General features: G+C 42.3%; 1 protein-coding gene and 1 long non-coding RNA gene across 4 annotated transcripts in view; one reads left to right on the forward strand and one right to left on the reverse strand.

Annotated features, from left to right (window-relative positions):
* The window catches only part of ASTN2 (astrotactin 2), a 991946-nt gene that overhangs the window by 420597 nt on the left and 551586 nt on the right, over positions 1-19763 (reverse strand). The gene's annotated exons all lie outside the window — the stretch shown is intronic.
* LOC105376238 (uncharacterized) lies at positions 1611-4678 on the forward strand. The gene is made up of 2 exons (XR_930275.3): positions 1611-1764; positions 4126-4678. It is a non-coding gene; the product is annotated as an uncharacterized LOC105376238 (long non-coding RNA).

A 19763-nucleotide genomic window follows, 5' to 3' on the forward strand; every position in this document is an offset into this window, starting at 1 on the left:
TAAAATGGCAATAATAGACACTGGGGACTACCAGATGGGGGAAGGAGGCAGGGAGGTGAAAGGGAAGAAACAGGTGCAAGGATTAAAAAACTACTTATTGGGCACTACGCTTAGTACCTGAGTGATGGGATCAATTGTACTGCAAACCTCAGAATCACACAATATATCCAGGTAACAAACCTGCACATGTACCCTCTGAAGCTAAAATAAATGTTGAAATTATTTTTTAATCAAATTTTAAAAAACTCTGTAAATTATTTCTCAGCAGTCTCTGTGGTTATGTTCCTGAGTTCAAAAAGCAGAAGAATGCTGAGGAGACAAAAAAATAAAAATAAGATTAATCCAGATACTGTCATTTCCTAGCTGTGTGACTTCAGGCAAGTCACTGCACTTTTCTGGTCCTGTTTTTCCTGTTCTAAAATAGACTCAATAATAAATAACCGCCTCCTGGGATTGCTGGGAACATTGAGTGCTGTCACGAATGAAAAATCCTTGTGTGGAAGTTCCTTCTTCCTTTTGATGTCCCACATCAGAAAGAATCAGTTTTCTTTTTCTCCCATGTTCATTATTCTTCTCCTAGCACAAGCTTTATTCTGCCAGGTGGGACGGTTTCTGGGTCACAGTCTGTTTCCCTACGAGTCCACAGCTATTTGGGGACAGGGACTGTAATACACACAGCTTCCTTTTCTCAGTCCAGCACGTGGGAGGGAGACAAGCCAGTATGCAAGGCAAATGTGGCCTTTGGGGTCAAGCAAGCTTGGGCTTGAATCCCACCTGTCTTTGCCACTTACTAACCATGTAATGTTAGCCAGTCACTTCGTTAACATTTGAACCTCAACTTCCTCAAAGTAAAATGAGCCTAATTACACCTACTCAGAATTGCTACGGAGGAAAAAAAAAAAAACAAAAAGTTAGACATTTAATGTCCCTAACATAGTATCTAGCACAATGGTAAGATCCTGATTGTTATAAAAGTTGCTATTATGATTATTATCACTCTTAATATTCAGTGCTCAGTAAATATTTTTGGAATGTAATAAAATGTCTGGTTGTATTGCTTAGTTTTGGCTTGAGTTCCAATGAAATACCAACAGGCCATTATCCCCACATGCCAGCCATCTGTGCAGCCTTCAACACACACTTACTGAAGACACCAGAAAGGAAATTCAAATGCTTTCAGGACACACTGTGGGCCAGGCACTATAGGAAGTGTTTTCCTTATACTGCTTTGCTGAAGGCCCACACTTCTATGAGATTGCTGTTATTGCTGTTATTAGCTTGATGTCTGCAGAAGAGAAAACTGAGGCTTTGTGGCTGGATATGTCTTTCCTTGTAGTTCTAGCAGAACCAGGGTGCAAACATGGGGGCGTTTGACTCCAGGCCCCTGCTCTCTCCACTGTACCATACCATTCTTTCTTTTTTTTGAGACGGAGTCTCACTGTGTTGCCCAGGCTGGAGTGTGGTGGTGCGATCTCGGCTCAATGCAAGCTCCACCTCCCGGGTTCACGCCATTCTCCCGCCTCAGCCTCCCGAGTAGCTGGGACTACAGGCGCCTGCCACCATGCCTGGCTAATTTTGTTTCTCTTATTTTTAGTAGAGACGGGGTTTCACCGTGTTAACCAGGATGGTCTCGGTCTCCTGACCTCGTGATCCGCCCGCCTCGGCCTCCCAAACGTACCATTCCTTTCTTGTGGAGGCACCAAGAAGTAGAAAATGTGAGAGTTCCCGACTTCAGGAAGAATCTAGACCAATGGTAGAGATCAGGTAAATTCCCAGAGGGAGAAAAGTCATAGTTCAAAATGGCTTATGATAAAAAATGTGCCAAACAACAAAAAACAACCTGATTAAAACATGGGCAAAAGACTTGAATAGACATTTCTCTAAAAATGATATACAAACAGCCAATTGGCACATGAAAAGATGACCAAAATGATTAGTGAATCATTAGCGAAATGCAAATCGAAACTACCTCACCCTCATTAGGATGGCTGTTACCAAAAATTCAGAAAATAATGAGTGTTGGTGAAGATGTGGAGAAATTGGAGCCCTTGCACACTCTTGATAGGATTGTAAAATGGTGCAGCTGCTATGAAAAACAGTATGGAGGTTCCTCAAGAAATTAAAAATAGAACTACCATATGATCTAGCAATTGCACTTCTGGATATATATCCAAAAGCCCTGAAAATAAAATCCTAAAGAGATATTTATACACCCTTATTCATAGCATTGTCATTCATAATAGCCTAAAAGGTAGGAACAACCAATGTTCATTGACAGATACATATACACACACAATGGAATATTATTCAGCCTTAGAAAGGAAGGCAATTCTGACACACGCTGCAGCATGGATGAACCCTGAGGACATTATGCTAAGTGAAATAAGCCAGTCACAAAAAGACAAATACTATATGACTCTATTTATATGAGGTGCTTATAGCAGTCAAATTCACAGAGATGGAAAGCAGAATGGTGGTTGCCAGGGGCTGGGGGAAGGGAGAATGAGGAATTATTTAATGGGTATAGAGTTTCAGTTTTGAGAGATAAGTGCTGTAGATTGGGTGTACAACAATGTGAATTTGCATCACGCTACCAAACTGTTCACTTCAAATGCTTAAGGAGATAAATTTTATGTTATGCATATCTTATCACAATTAAAACAATTTTAAAAATGTATTTTAATAAAAGGGAAGCAGAGAGTGAAAGGCATAATGGTTCCTAACTTCAAAGAAAATCTAGACCAACTGGAGGGACCGGATCAACCCCAAGAGAGAGATAAGCCATGTTTCAGGATGGTTTCTGATCAAGAGCAGTGCTGCAATGACAGCATGCTACTGCGTGGCTGGGTTTGCTCACACACACTGATCACAGCTAATTATCTGAATATATGCTGGCTACTTTTCCCATTAGAGGAGTCCCACGTAATTAGGGGACACAGGTTACCATCCTTGCTTTGGGCACATCCCTGCCCTTCTCTGGCCGTCAATCTTCCTAACTGTCCAGTGAGAAAAGTGGTAGCTGGTCCGTAAGGGGTCTCCCATCTTGGACATTCTATGGTTCTCTGCCAGTGGTCAATAGGAATTCCAAGGGAGGTAGGTTCTCGCAGTAGGCAGCACCTGCTCTAGTGCAAGTGGCTTGGGAACATGCTTGAAGCTTTCCCCTACAGCCTCTTAAAATGGCTGGTCAACCTTTTGGTGGCAGTCGCGAAGCCTTCTGCACACAGCAAGGGTTCAGTTCAACAAATGCCTATTCAGAACCTGCTGTCTTCCAGGAATTATAAAGCCTTAGCTTCATTCTCAAAAAAAAAAAAAAAAAAACAAAAAACAAAAAACAAAAAACAAAAAAAAACATATATTCTAATGGGGGGAGAAAAGTAAGTAAGCACATTCTTATAGTTCTCAAGGTTTTGTTTTGTTTTGTTTTTTGAGATGGAGTCTTGCTCTGTCACCAGACTGGAGTGCAGTGGCACAATCTCGGCTCACTGCAACCTCTGCCTCCCTGGTTCAAGTGATTCTCCTGCCTCAGCCTCCCAAGTAGCTGGGACTACAGGCACACACCACCATGCCCAGCTAATTTTTGTATTTTTAGTAGAGACGGCGTTTCACTATGTTGGCCAGGATGGTCTCAATCTCTTGACCTTGTGATCTACCCGCCTTTGCCTCCCAAAGTGCTGGGATTACAGGCATGAGCCACCGTGCCCAGCTGAGGATTTTTATAAGCACCAAGGGCTGAGGCAAGGGAGGCCAGGGAACACTTTCCTAGGAAAATCTGCCAAGACTCCTGAGGAATGTCTATTCAATACCTATCTGGTGATGATAATAAATAGCCTTTGTGTAGCTCATTAATAATAATAATAGCTAACACTTAATGGCACTTATCATGTGCCAGGCACTGTTTCGATGTGTTTTGAATATTAACTCATTATGTGCACAGCCTGATGGTATAGGAACTACTAGTCTACTCATTTTACAGAGAGGGAAACTATGGCACAGACAGCTTTAGGAACTTGTCCCAAGGAAACAAGGCAAGTGAGTGGCACAGCCAGGATCTGAAGCCACACTACGCTGCCTTTTACAATGTGTTAAGCTTTCTAAGTTACTTCCTCATCTGTTATATTTTTCTAGCCTCATGGAGAGAGGTGCTGACGCCATTTGGAAGAATAATATCCTGAGGTGCAGAGATGTAAGAGAACTTCCCAAGATCATACAGTGATTAGATGTGGGGCGGGACAGAGGCTCCACTCAGGTCTGCACTGCTACAAAGCTGTACCCTCTGGGCTGATGGCATGGCTCAGTGAAGGAGCTCTCTCTGTTCCCAAGGCAGAGGCTCTAACTGTCTTCACCTGGGTTCAAGGCGCTGGGAGGAAAATGAACATCTGTTGTGTACCCCCCATACACCAGACACACTGCTAGGCTATGCTAATTTATGAAATCTTCCCAACAACCCAGAAAAGAATGCACCATTATTTTCACCACTCACAGATGGAAAACAGGCTTGGAGAGGGAAGATGACTTGCTTCAGGTCCTCACCATAGATGCTTGGATGTCTTTCTGTTTTCAGAAGCCTCATGTCCTATTACTTCTCTGAGTAGCACAGAGCCGAGGGAATTTTGCTACAGATCAAGTGCAGGGAGGTATTTGGGGAAAATAGCTTATTGTGACATTGCCTGAGCACTTGACTATGAAACCAGGTCTCCTCCTAAGAGCATTGAATGTGCATTAACTCATTCCCTCCTCAAAGCAAACCTATGTGGCAAACACCAAACACCAATATCATGCCCACTTAACAGATGGAGAATCTGAAGCGCAGCACGAAGAGGTGTATTAACTTGATGAAGGTCACACGGCCAGTAAGTGGTGGAGCCAGGAAGCCTGGCACCTGAGTCTCTTTTCTTAGCCCTTCCGCAATACTTCCTCATACAACAACCATGTAAGGTAGTGTGACATAGGAAAAACAAACTCAGTTTCTCCTGTGATACCCTCTCACCACACAATCAACACAGAACACTTCTGTGACCTCTGGTCACCAAGAAGTGTGTGGCAATTTCTCTCTGGCAGCAACCAGTTCTCTGGGAGATCTTTCAGCAGACACCAGCTGGGTGTCCTCTAATTCAGTTCAATTTTGACACTATCTAACTGGAGATGGTGTCAGATCCCACAGGTTGAGTACTCAGTCCCATAAGACTGCCTCCAATTTCCACTGCCAATTCCAAGCCCCAGGTTATTAAACCTGTGCTTCTGATGACCAGCTATAAATCAGGGTTCCCACAATCCCTTCCTTGGGTTTCATGAACTTGCTACAGCAGCTCACAGAACTCAGGGAAATACTTATGTTCCCTGGTTTATTATAAAGGATATACCAATTATCACCAGATGGAAAAGTTGCACAGGGCAAATAATGTGGGAAGAGGCACGGAGTTTCCATGCCCTGTCTGAGCACATCGTCCTCCAGGAACCCCCATGTGTTCTACTCTCTGGAAACTCTTGAACCTAGTCCTTTTGGATTTTTATGCACACTTCAATACTTAGACAGCATTGATTAAATCATTGGCCACTGGTGATCAACTTAACCTTTAAGCCCTTCTCCCCAGTTCAGAGGTTGGGGGTGGGGCTAAAAGTCCCAACCCTCTAATCTTGTCTTGGCCTTTCCTGTGACCAGCCCTCACCCTGAAGCTACCTAAGGGTGGATAGCCATCAGTCAACTCATTAGTATACAAAAGACACTTATCACTTTAATGATAACAAGAATTTTAGAAGTTATATGCCCAGAAACAGGGATAAACACCAATATATATTAATTTGCAGGTACTATTATTTCACCCTTTTTTTGAATACTGGGAGATTAAGACTTAAAGAGGTTTAAAGCAACTTGTCTCATTACAGAGGAAGGGATCGAGACAGGATTTGAACCTGTACAGCTTGATACCAAATAACTTGTGCCTAGCAGTGAGTTACTTATTCAGGGGTCAGGGCCAGGCCTTCATTAGGGCAGGCTGGACATACGGACTTTTCCATGCTGCTAGGTTTAACAGGCTGGTATCGCTTCCCCATCTCTTGTCACTAAAAACTCAATTAGCAGCTTGAGGCTGTGTCCTCACATCACACCTTCTCATTGATCACTCAGACTGTGAGTGAGAAAGATTTTAAAGCTGGTTGGCTTTGCAAAGCATAGAGCAGCAACCATTGAGCATATGCTTCTGTGGGTATATATTTATTCAGCTTATGTTGAGTATAATTTTGGATGGTATGCATATTTTATTTTTTGTTGCAGAGAGCAATTTAAAAGAAGAAAAAAAATCCTTCTCTGAATGGAGACAGATGCCATATATGTTGGACCCTCAGGGGATTGAAAAGGATGAGGTTCCCAAGTCCAGTGTTCTGGGGACGGACGTGGGTGGAAGGAAACTCACAAGTGATGGGAATCCAGGATCAACTGCAACACCCACAGCAAGGCCAGCAAGGCACTAACCACCCAGTCCAGGGCAGGGCCCTTCAAGGTTTTATTCCCAAGGCCTCCCCAGTAGCCTGTCTGACTGTTCTCTACATGCTATTTACTGAGTACTAAATATTGAGTGATGGGTGAAGTGCACATCATCCCCCTTAACTTTCCCCACAACTCCATGTTGAGATGCTGTTGTACATATGAGAACACAGATACTACATTGCCCAATGTCATCAACTAGAACAGCAGGAATCTGTGTGCTGGGAAGCCAGACCCCAGAACCAGTGCTCTCAAATCCCCACCAATGTCATCTAGTGGTTACTGGAGTCCTTATTTTGGAGTCCTGATATCCATGCTACCAATTCCTATCTGAGTGACAATGAACATGTCACTTCCCTTTCTGAGTTGGCTTCCACACTCACAGGATGGAGACTGAGATACCATTTTGCTAGGGTGTTATCAAGATTCAGAGATCCAAAGTTACACTTAAAAGTCATTTGAGACATTTGTTCTTTTTTTCTACCCCACCCCCTGCCTAAAAGGTTCTCCTCTTACCCAGGATGAACTCAAGATGTAACATTTTAAAATGAGCCTTAGGAAAAAACCTGCAAGGGTTGGTACCAGCTGGAGAAAAATAAATACGCTCATGTGGGTGCCAAAGATTCAAAAGAGAGAAGCAGCAGCCCAAACCAGAGTCTACACCAGAGGGAATCATTATGGAAGGAGAAAGTTCATCCTATCATTGTGCAGAAAGGAAGGATCCATGTGTGACTCTAGGGAGTAGGATCCAAAGCATCATTTTCTAGCTCTGTAAATAGACTATGGACTCTTTGCTAGTTAGGACACAGTATCTTTCTAATGTTAGGGCCCAGAAGAGGGTCTTACACAGCAGTACTTAGTTGTTGAGCTCTGAATGCAGCTAAAATTCAACTGTGGGTTGTCTAATAACCAGTTTTTGCTTCAACCAAAGGCAAGTTTGATCTAGTTTGATAAGATGTGCTAGATGCTGGAGAATCCATTACCAACAGTCAAGAATCACATAAAAGAGCTGCTCTATGCATACCTAAGTGGGAAAACTGTAAAAAAAACATGATTAGCATAAAAGACAGGGTCTTGGCCACTTCCAGAAGGGAGGACAGGGTTACAATTGGAAATGGAGGCATGGTGGGTGTGTTGGGGGAGGGCTTATGGAATGCAGGCAATATTCTATTTCTTGACATGGGTGATGGTTTAGGTGAGAATTGCTTAATTCGTATCAAAACTGTAAATAATGTTTTACATATTTTTCTATATATTATATTGCACAGTAAAATTGCTAAACATCTATCTATCTATCTATCTATCTATCTATCTATCTATCTATCTAGTTATCTATCTATCTTATAGTAAATCTACTAAAAGGACATGTCAAAATGTTAGTAGTAGCTATTTGGAGGTGACATGACTATGGGTGATATTGTTCTTTATTTTTTCTCTATATGTCCTAAATATTCTTGTATGTGCATATAATAATTTCATAATTAAAAAAAAACACGTTTTAGTTGAATTGCTTCATTACCTAAATAAGGCAACAACAAAAACGTGAAGGTCAGTTCCACCACTTCTGCCTGAAATTCCTCCAATGGAGAACCTCATCTTCTCCCTAAGGTTCAATGTGCATGAAAGAACAGCTCTGCAGAGTAAGTTGAGGGGTGCCAAATCCCACTGGCTCTTATATAGGCCTATCTGCAGTGTCTTCCCCCTCTGGAACCAAGTACATCTTTGACTTAGGTACTGTGGCGGGAAAGGGAGATGCCCCAGAGAGAATCAAGTTTAACTCTGAATTTGTAGGAAGGACAGGAGCATAGCTGAGGATTCACAGTAAACAGAGTCATGTTGAGAAACAGGGTCCCTTCATCACCTCGGACTGTATTATCCCCATGATCATGGGCCTGAAAAATCACCTTTCCCTTTCAGTGATGATGAAGAAAATTTCTGAAAACCAAGGAAAGCCAGAAAAGGCTACTAAGTTTCCTAGCTCAACAAGCTCCTCTCTACACAATAGGACCTGATCTTAGGAAGGGAGGCCATGGCCCTGGGTTTTGCTCATGCCTGGCTACTTTCACTGGGTCCGGCCAACAATATTGTAAGGTGCAGGGATCATTCCCATTTTATGGATCAGATTAGAGGGGCTCAGATACATTCAGCAATTTGTCCAAAGTCACACAGCTTCCCAGTTACAGGGATGGGATTTGAATCCAACTCTGAATTATGGACAAGTCTATTCTTTTTACTGGACTGGAATTCTGATTAACTAGCCCATCTCTCTCTAGGAACGTCTGTCACTCAGTTCGGGTAGAATTTTCTCAATGAGGAGAAAGGCTATTGAGTGTTTGATGAAACCTTCTCACTGTTTGCTCCCTCAAGGGAAAGGGATTTCAAAATACCTGGGCTAGTGGGTCAAGACTTCTTAAAGCAGGGATCAGAGAGAAGCTGGAGAATACAGGCAAAAGGATACCTTTATTATTTGTAAAATTTAATAACAATAATAATAATGTCATTTGTCATCCATTTATCCTCAAGACCTATGATAAAAGACAAAAGAATGATGATAAAAATAAAAGCATGTTATCCTGGGTGGAAGAGAGTCCTACACTGGAATTTCAGACACCTGGGTTCTATCCAAGCATAGCTCTTGTGCTCTTTAGCCTCAATTTGATCATCTTTATTTATTACCCAAGGGGAAAATACACACACACACACACACACACACACACACACACACACACGGTTAAGATCAAGCTAGGAAGTCAGTTGTCCTAAAAAGAAAAAAAAATTGGAAAAGCTCTAGGAAAAGCAGAATGTGTAGTTCTGACTTAGAAAATTGTCCCGAAGAAACACAACTGTATGCTTTTTATGCTTCCATTTTTAAAATTACATATATAAATTCTTATTTATATTTGCATATGCATAGGGAAGAAGTGTATGGAAGGATATGTATCTATCTATATATACACCAAACCGTGGCACATTTATCTAAAGTGGGTGAGTAGTTAAGAAAGGGGGCCTTGAGTTTTTTTCTTTATACATTTCAACACTGTACAAATTTATTTTATTTTATAATGAGAATGAGCTACTTTTAGAAAACCAAAAAAAATTTTTAAAGGAAGATTGATGATCAGATGGAGAAAATACCTTATGAATGCAAAAATTCTATTATTATAATTAAGATGAACACAATTATTCCAGCTTTTCGTTTCAGAGCTAAGGAGAAGGTGTCTGATGATCAGCATTCTGATGCCTCAGGAGACACTCACTGGTGCTTGGCACAACCACTAAAAGTTCTGTAGTCATGGCTTCTGACCTCCTCAAACCCTCAAGGAGACAGCAGACCCACGGCCTCATTTACTCTCCTCTGCATTGCCTCTTGTATCTGGACCCTCTCTCACAGACACAGTGCACACCTCACTGGACTCCACTCCCACATGTACTACATTTATTTTATCACTCTCCTGATCAGAGACCCTTTAGGCCAAATACCCTAGCCCGCCCTTGGGCTGCACTCTGAAAGAAAAGCAGCACCTAAAACAGTGTGGAGCACCAGATGCTCTATTGCTCCTTTTGAAAAAATCCATCCCACACCTTCACCCAAATCATGAAACACTAATACAATTTGAAAACTGTCCTTACAGACTTCTGGGAATCTCTTCTAAAGAAACAGCTCAAAACACAGAAGGTGGCTTCTGCCCAAAGGTGCTCAGAGCAGCACGGTTTATAATAGACTAAATCTGGAAGCAATCAACATGTCCAACCAGAAGACAAAGCAAATGCTGGGATGTTCCCCTTCATGAAATATTAGGCAATATTAGTGATATATATGAATTTGTCCTGGTTAAGGGTTTTGTTATCAACCTGCTTTGGCCCAATTTGGCCCGAATTCCCTGCTCTAGAACTGAGTAGCTTTGTGGTCCTGAGCAAATTACCTAAGTTTTCTCTGGCTCAGTTTTCCCATCTGTAAGAAAAGGGATAATAATGAGATCCACCTCAGAAGCCTTGAATCATAGCAAGCATTCAAACAATTTTAGCTCTCATCATTGCCACCACCACCATACTCAACCCTGCATGAGATATCAGATAATAATAATAGCAACCATGTTTTGTGCCTGCTTAGGGCCATGTTCTAGCCCATTGCGTATGCATTCTCAGTTAGTCCTAACAGCAGCTTTGGCAGGCATAAGTAGTATTATCCCCATTTTACTCAACAGGAACCCAAGGCTAAGAGGCTTTAAGTAACTTTTCCCAAAGTCACATGGCTAGTGAATGACAAGGTAAGATTTTGGCCCAGGTTTCTCTGATGCTAAAAACTGTGTACTTAAGCACTATAGTGTCTTCCCAAAAGTAGGGGATGGTAGTGGGAGATGGTAGTGGGAGCAGTGATTTATGCAGGGCTTGCAGACAACAGTTGGGAAAACTAGGAGTGCAGCTTCCATTTCCTGCCTCCAATTTGGGGCTTCCTTCTCTCTTTTTTTTTTTTTTTTTTTGAGACAAGTCTCCCTCTGTCCCCCAGGCTGGAGTGCAGTGGCACCATCTTGGCTCACTGCAAGCTCCGCCTCCCGGGTTCACGCCATTCTCCTGCCTCAGCCTCCTGAGTAGCTGGGACTATAGGAGCCTGCCACCACGCTCTGCTAATTTTTTTGTATTTTTAGTAGAGACAGGGTTTCACCATGTTGGCCAGGATGGTCTCGAACTCCTGACCTTGTGATCCGCCTACCTCGGCCTCCCAAAGTGCTAGGATTACAGGTTTGAGCCACCGCGCCCGGCCTCCCTTCTCATTATTCCCCCCCCACCATTATTTCAGGAATCAAAGGGTAAAACCCATCACTTTGGAAAAAGGGGGGCTGCTTCCTGACTTTAACAGATAATGACTTCCACACAATAAAACCAGCTTACCAGAAATACCATCAGACCCAGCAAATCCAAGTCCCAACGAAATAAAATAAGGGGAAAAATAGAGAAGGCTTCAAATGTCATGAGAAGAAAAAAATATTTAATGTCATAAAAGGGTGCATAGGCTTTATGAGAATGCCACACACAATAATCTTGGAAACCCTATTACCCCACCTACCCACCCAGCCTGCTCCAAATTCATAAAGGAAAGATGCAAATGCACTGATTGGAAAGATGCAAATGCTCCTGATTGAGGAGCTACTCCCTCCTTTTCATTTCCCAAACTTTGAGTCCTGTGTGCAGGCATTGAATCAGTGGACACAGTACAGTTCCAATTCCCTTCTTTACTGGCTATTCTTATGTCCTTTTCCAATACAGTTCCAATTTCCTTCTTTACTGACTATTCCTATGTCCTTTTCCAATACTTAGCCTCTTTAGCTTCCTCTGGATCTCTTGGATGCAGTGGAGGAGAAATAAATACTGGACATTGATAGAGGGTAAAGAGAAGAAAGTGCCCCTCTCTTCATGCTTCCTGACATTGGGGACATTCGCCTTATCCCTAGGGAACTATTCTCAGCCTTGGGAGGGTGTCTTCTGATGAATTAAGAGAATGAGCTTTGGAGTTTGACAGAGTTTGGAGTTTCCTCTGCCTTTACCTGGCTGGTTGGATTTGGGCAAGTTTCTCATACTTTCTGACTCTATTTCCTCATGGATAAAATGGGAGTAATAATAATGCTTTCCTTATAAGGTAGCTGTGAGGATTTCCAGGGCCAGGCACATAATTAGTACTGAAATGTTCTCTCTATATATCCGTATCAGTAATACTAGGCCTGATATTATTTATAGCATTTATTCATTTATTTTTTAGTAGCTTTAATAATATTAGGCCTAGTATTACTGATCAAGGTATTCAATACATATAGAGAATTCTCTGTCTGTGAACCTATTTGACTAGAGGATACTTTGATGAAGACACCATGGGGGCGATATGTCATCCTGTAAATCCTGTTTTGCAACCCAAGAGCCTGAAGTTATTCCCATAAAGACACCTGCCTGCTGCCTTTGCATCTTTCTAATAATTTTTAAAAAGAAAAATAGGGCAACCATCAGTCCTCTCATTTTGGATTTTGGCAAAATCTGTCTCAGTTGTCTTCTGAATCTATCATACCCCATGTGGCTGATCTACAGGGATAAATTTAGCTTTGAAAGTCCATTTCTGGAAAGGAAAAACAAGTCTCCAAGGGCTAGATCCCATGGAGGCTCAGCCCAGCTGCACCGTGTAGGAGGGTTACATGCCCAGGCAGGCAGGGCTGGGCTTTCCCTGGTCAGCAGTGCCTGGGCTGTGCTCCAAGGTGATTTCTCACTCTGCTGACTCTTCTTGCTAGTCTTCCCCACCCCTCTTGAGTTTTGTTCCTTTAATTACACTGCAATTGAGTCATTAAGAGGGGGAAAGGATGAGGAATGGAGAAAAGCCGGTCTCTCTCCCCTACTGAACCAGATTCCAGCTTTTGCCTCCCTCTGAGCAGTGCTATAAGGTTCCTGGCCTATACTAAATGGAAATCCATATGTTTATTCATCTTGACTTTTAGAAAGGCAGCTCTTGTTGTTGTCTCTCAGCACCTGTGCAATCAGGGATCCTATGATCTTTCCTAATATCTGGCAGGCCAGATGGTTTTTTAGATCAAAATGAAAAAAGAAAAAGATGGGGCAGAGGCGGCAGAAATGTGACTGGGTGATTTGTAGGGTTGAGGAGTGTGGGATTGGTTTGAGATTGTTCTAGAATTCAGAGCCAGGGCTAAGAACTGACCACAGAGGCTCCTCCTGAAAGACACCATCACTCTAAGACCCAGCGAGTATGCAAATCCTTCCACTTCCCTTAGTCCTTTCTATGAAGGCCTTGACTATTCGATGTTGCCCCTCCTTTCTATCCTTTCCCATTATTTTTCTCCACATATCCCAGTTTCCTACCAGATAGTTTCATTTTTCTCATGTGTGAAGTGAAGGTAATAATAATATCTGGCTCATATTATTACTGTGAGCATAAGGTTGGTTAAAAGAAGCAAAGCACTTAGAACCGTGCTTGGAACAGTCTTTGTATGGATAGTTGCTTTTATATTACTAGCTTTTCTTTTTTGTAAAATGGACATGATAGTTCCGGGTAGGTGATAATTATAGGCATTAATTGCCATGAACATAGGCAAAATAACACATAGTAGGTGCCCAGTGAGTGCCAGTTCTCTCGTATGACCACTCTTTTCTCTGCAATATTCACACCAATCCTCTTAGAGAATTTTCACACAGAGAAACAAAGTGGTTTGTTCAAGATTATGCTGCAATCCTGCTGAAGTCTGTCTTGTCTTCTGAAGGGGCTTATAAAACAAGGCTTAACTCTTGTGGTGTTTTGCTCCTGGTCCATTCACAGTGCTGGATACAGGAATGTTGCGAAATAAATAATTATACTATATAGTGACAAAGCTGATGCTATGGGGCCATTAGGTGTTGGAATGTGAAACTGGAAGGGAGTCTTGGAATTAAATCTAGGTTGTATTACTACCTCCCTACATGAACTTGAGCAATTTCCGTATCTTTCTAGGCCTTTGTTTTTCTGTTTGTATAATGGGAGAGGGTCCTTTCTGGCTCTGGTAGCCCTTGTCTGTCTCCATGCAATGGGTAAATGGGTAGATTAAAGATGATCACACATTCTTTGCTACTCTTCGCATTGACAGGTGAAATCTAGCTCTTTCCCCCTTGAATCTGGGCTGACCTTATTGACCTGCTTGACCAATAGAATGTGGTAGAAATGATGTTCTGAGACTTCTGAGGCTGGGGACTAAGAAGCCTTGCAGCTTCTGCCTAGGCACTTAGAACGCTGGATCTTGGGATGGTCCCTTGGTAAGCCCAGGTTCCATGATGTGAGAAGCCCAAGCCAAATGGGGAGCCCAAGAAAAAATCCTCTATCCAGTTGACAGCCCCAGCTCAGGTCCAGCATAGCCAGTGTCAACCACCAATGGTGCCAGTCCTAGCCCCAGACAGGTAATAAAGGAACCCTTCTGCAAATGACTCCCCAGTCCCAGATGCCCCATCTGTCTTTGATCAGAGACAAACCAGCTGCACCCTCCACATAGTCCTGATTCACAAATCTATAGACAAAACAAGAGTGTGTGAAGCTACTGAGTTTTGGGGTAGTTTGTTATAAAACAATAGAAAGCTGGAACCAGGAAAGTGAGCTATGAACTGATACTTCAAAAAGGGTTAAGGAGGACGCATTGTGTTTACCAGATTGTCTGGTGTTGGGTTAATCAAAAGGCTTCCTGTGCTGGGAAAACCAGAAAAACATAAAAGAATGGCATTAGTGAAGTGCGTCAGGGGGCAGCAGTTACTTAGAGATGGTGGTGGAAGTGTCCTCCATACGATGCTGTGATTAAGTGCTTACAGTTTTCTTTGTTTTTATTCTCTATCTTGATTAAAATTTTGCAGTGTTTATACTGCCACACAGAATAAATGGACCCATAGCTTACATTTCAAACTGTGCCTTGCTGACATCATTATGTTTGTCAGATTTATAACATTTCTAATATACAACAATTTTTCACTCTTGGAACACTGAAGGGGAACACAGGCTCCCTCTCTTTTCTGATGTTTCATTCACTGTTACTTCCTCTATCACTGGTCAAGGGATATGGTCTCCTTGGAAATAACTGAAAACAAAAATAATAGCATAATTATTTATATATTATTTACTGTATCACCCTCCTCATATGATCTTTTACCTGTTATCAGTATTTTATTGCTATTGTAGCAAATTACTATGCAATTGGTGGTTTAAAGTAACGCAAATTTATTATCTCACAGTTCTACAATTTAAAAGTCTAACTTGGGTCTCAATGGGCTAAAATTTAGGTGTTGGCAGGGTTGCATTCCTTTCTGGAGGTTCCAGAGGTAAGTCTTTCTCTTTGCTTTTCCAGCTTCTAAACACCACTTCTCTTCCTTAGCATGTAACTCTCTTCCTCCAACTTCACAGCTGGCAACGCTGCCTCTCTCTACCCCACTCCTCTGCTTTCCTGAGCACACTCTGATAATTCAAGATATTCTCGCTCTTTTAAGGTCAGCTAATTAGTCATCTTAATTCCTTACGCAAATTTAAATCCTGGTTCTGTCATGAAAGGTAACATACCAGTCACAGGTTCTGGGAATTAGGATGTGGACATCTTTGCAGGGGCCATTATTTTGCCTACTACACATCTTATGGCCATCCTCCAATTGGCCAATTACCTATATGAGAAACATATTATCCAAAGGGAAGGTTACCACAGCAGAACCAGAAAGCTGAGCAAAAATATGTCAGATTTTTTAAATCTTGTGTTTCAAAAGTTGAGGTCTAGAAGGTAGAGCTATTTTAGAAGGTAAAATAATAATCATCATTATAATGACAATAATAAAGCAATAGAAGCATCTGTGATCTGTTAGAGAATTACCTTCCCTTGTATCCACAAAGAAGTAAAGGTCATCTGAGCTGGTGGAAGACAGGAATGTTGGAAGTCAAACAAAGTAATCTAGAAAATGCTAATGAGTGTTCTAAAAGGGGTCCCATCCTCTATCCTTACCAGGCTACGCCCATGAGTGTATGAAGGGGATGAGGGGGTGCAGAATATCAGGTGGGTTTGAGGGCTATGAAGGCAAAGGGGTTCTGGGCGTCACTTGCTATATAGCACAGGTTGACAGCAAGCATGGTGAGTGATCCTCCCCACTGTGAAAACAGCCAACTACAGATCCTTTCCTGGCATGTCTAGATCAAAAGAGCTCTAGACAGCTTTCCTCAGATCCTCCAGGTGGAACTGTTGGACATTTCTCAGGCCCTCTGGAGGCTGGAAAAACTAGCTGACGCACAGAGCCAGCTGGCCTTAAATGACCTTGTGGTGGAATAAAGTGGATGAGGCAGCAGCTGTACTACACACCTGTGAGTCAGGTGGGAATGGAGAGGAAGGAGAGTGATGGACAAGGGCCAAGTGATGCAGCAGGTACCAGATTAAAAAGTGATGGCCCAGCATCAAACATGCCCTTAGCTCCTAGGCCTTACAGGTACATTGGCCCTTTGAGCTAAAATGTTCAGTTAAGAGGTGGGAGGCAGAAAAAAAACTGAAATTGACTAGAGTTAAGTTTCCACTAACAATGGAACAGAAATGAAATGAAATTCAGTTACAGAAACGTAATAGAACATTAGATACGCTGTGCTCCTAAATTTGTGTGGCCCCAAATATATCCACTACATACAAATATCAGTAATGTGGTCTCCTTATCTCACTCATAAATGGTACTTTGTAAATCCCAAATCATTGCCAGTTATATTCTTTGAGCTCTTTCAGTTTTTTGTTTTTGTTTTTAGAAAAATCTGTAAGTACTGTTGCTTCCTTTTGAAAGATTAAGAAACTGATGCTAATGAAGTCAACATAGACTCCAAAGCTATGGTCATTCTAATGCCTAAATCCAGGCTTTAGCCCAATTCACTCAGCCCAGCCTCCTTTCCATGATTCTTCAACGAGAACTCATCTCAGCTCCCAGTGTGGGAAAGCAAGCCAAAGTGGCCCTGGCAGAAGGACTGATAGTGAGACATGGTCTTGGTCCTCCACCCTGCCACCTGGTGGTAAGACCTTGGAAAGTCACTCTGCTTCCTGAGCCTGTTTCCACATTCCTGAGGGAATCTACTGCCCAGGTTTGTTGTGAGGATGAGCTCTTAGCTTGTAGACATGCTTTGAGAATGCTAAAGTATTCTAAAAATATAAGGAATTATCATGTAATACCTGAAGGAATGTCTTAGAAGGTGAGCTATGAGAAGAAGTTTCTCTTTACAGACATGATGGAGAGTCTACAGAGAAATGAAAGGGATTTAAAATCTCAGCATAAACGTGGTATTTCCCTGTCTATTCTGAAGCACAGAGAGGAGCTTGCCTTACATCCATTGAACCTTGAAGTAGTGGTTTTAAAATTACATCCTCAATCTAGAGAGGAGGGTCTTTGACAACTTCATCAGACCGTTGAATCTTCTCTTATCCCCTAGGGAATGAATGTTCTTTCTCTTTCTCTCTCTTTTAATTTTTCCAGTTTATATGAATAAAAGACAAAGAGAGACAAGCCCAAGCTACACACACACACACACACACACACACACACACACACACACACACACACTCCTCTGTATTTGAGGTTTCATTCCTATGGGATATCTATCCTAAAAGAGAAGGAGCTTAATTAATTTGAGAAAAGAGAACTAATGGAAAAGAGGAAAGAGGCAGACAACTTAATCCTTTGAAAAAGGTCAGCCTTACATTCTGGACACAACACAGAACATCCTTTTGAGCTGTTTGTCCACTGGCTGGGTTTCAGACTTCAGCAAATCCTCCTCTCCCCAACTAGCACTTTTCCAATGTGCTATATGAAGGGTTAGGTTTCAATGGTCTGAGGCAGACAGCTGTTGATGTATATCAATCTAGCATCTACAACTCCTGTTGCCAGCACCCCAGTTTTTCTTGAGAGTCTATGCCTTCCCCCATCTCAGGGCCATGCATTTCAGGTGTAGCTGCCTCCTGGTGCAAGCTCCAAGCATGGCTGTCTCTGGGATGAGCCCAGTTAATCCCCCTGACCAGCAATTGGTGCAGGGATAAATGGGCATGAGAACCAAGTTGGCACAATGAGAAGGAATCTGGTGACAGTAGTTGGAGGTACTAGGAAAGAAGTGTTTTTGTCCTGTAGGACTTGCATCCAGCCTGCAGCTGGCCCAAGAATGGCACAGTGCTAAGGAAAGCAGAGCTAAGATAAGGAGGGGGATTCCAATGACATTGCTTGAGTCCTTCAATCCAATTTTCTCCAGACTTCCACTTAAGCCAATGCATTTCCTTCTTCTTTTTTTTTTTTTTTTTGCCTATACTAGTTTGAGTTTAGTTTCTATCACTTGTAATCCTGAGAATTCTAATCACTAAAATTTCTAATTGCCCATTCACATCTGAAGAGCTATTAATCTTTGAGTCTCAGATATAGTTTCATTGCATTATTTCATTCTAGAAGCTTCTTCGTATTGATCTCCTGACCTTTGTCTGTTTCTCAGCTGGTGTGTAGCTGCACTAAGGGCCAAGTGTGTGTTCTGTCTCCCTTGGGTCTTGTTCAGAGAGCCTAGTCCAGAGCAGGATTCCTATCCCTGGTTCTATCCTTCCCTTCTTCTTTCTTTTTTCTTTATTTACTGAGATGGGTACTTCTGGGGTGTTGAGCCGAATCAACAGATTCCCTGGGTTCTCCCTCAGTTTTTTAAGAAACATAAACTGAAAAACCAGTCTGTGCTATAACGTGTCACAGGTGACTTAATAAAGCTAAGTACAGCATACAGTAAAGATACTGTATGGAAAAGAGGGTCACCTGCGGGGAGGGAAAAGGCTTCATAAAGGAGATGTCTCTGGAAAGATGTTCACTTGTTTGCTTCATAGACTTCGAAAGCAATTCTTTCTAGGCAGAGAGAAGGTACAAGAAAAGGTTCTGAGGCATGAAACATGCAGGCAAGTTCATAGAACTCCATCTAATCAGCTCCATTAGGCTGTAGTGTAGATTGAAATGAAGCGATAAGAGATGTGGCTGGAGAAACTGAAAAGGGACCACAGAAAGAAGAGCATTGAATGCCAGGCTGAGTTTAGCCTATGTGGCAATGTTTCCCAAGTGTATTTTCAAGATACCCCAACACACACAAATACACACACACACACACACACACACACACACACACATACACGTTAAAAAGTCAGGCTCCCGGGACCTAATCTCCTCTCTAGAATAAAAGCTTCTAGAGGTAGAACCCTGTATCTTAGGTCATTCTTATAAAACCATCAGTTTTGGCACACCCTTCTAAAGCAACAGGAACCCTCCCGCATCTTCTTGTGTGACCTTGTCCCACGCTAGATACTAAAATTCCAAGCAAACAAGGCTGCCTCTCCCTTCCTTCATGTCTTTGCTTGGCTGTCTCCGCTCTTTCCCTAATGTAAGTTGACTCATCTTTTGAAGCCAAAGCCAAAGCCAAAAGCCAACGTCCCAAGGAAGCCTTCTACGAAACTGAGGTCCCAGCTGAAACTTTCTCTTCCGGACCACACCAAAGCACCTGTCCATACTAGTTACACCTCATTGACATCCCGCCTACTATTGTATTCACAGAGGTAAGGCATGCCCTGTCTTACTCTCAAATGGACTGTAAGCTTCTGAAGGTCAGAAGTTCTCTAAGACCTATTGTGTGGTGGGCACTTAAGTTATAATATCTTGTTTCATTCTTCCAACAATTCCAAGAGGTAGGTTTAATGATCTCACTTTACAGGTGAGGAAACCAAGGTAGGCTGGCATACTGAAGGCCGCAGAGGCAGATAAG

This window comes from Homo sapiens, chromosome 9 (genome assembly GCF_000001405.40).
Source record: "Homo sapiens chromosome 9, GRCh38.p14 Primary Assembly".
In the NCBI taxonomy this organism is placed as follows: Eukaryota; Metazoa; Chordata; class Mammalia; order Primates; family Hominidae; genus Homo; species Homo sapiens.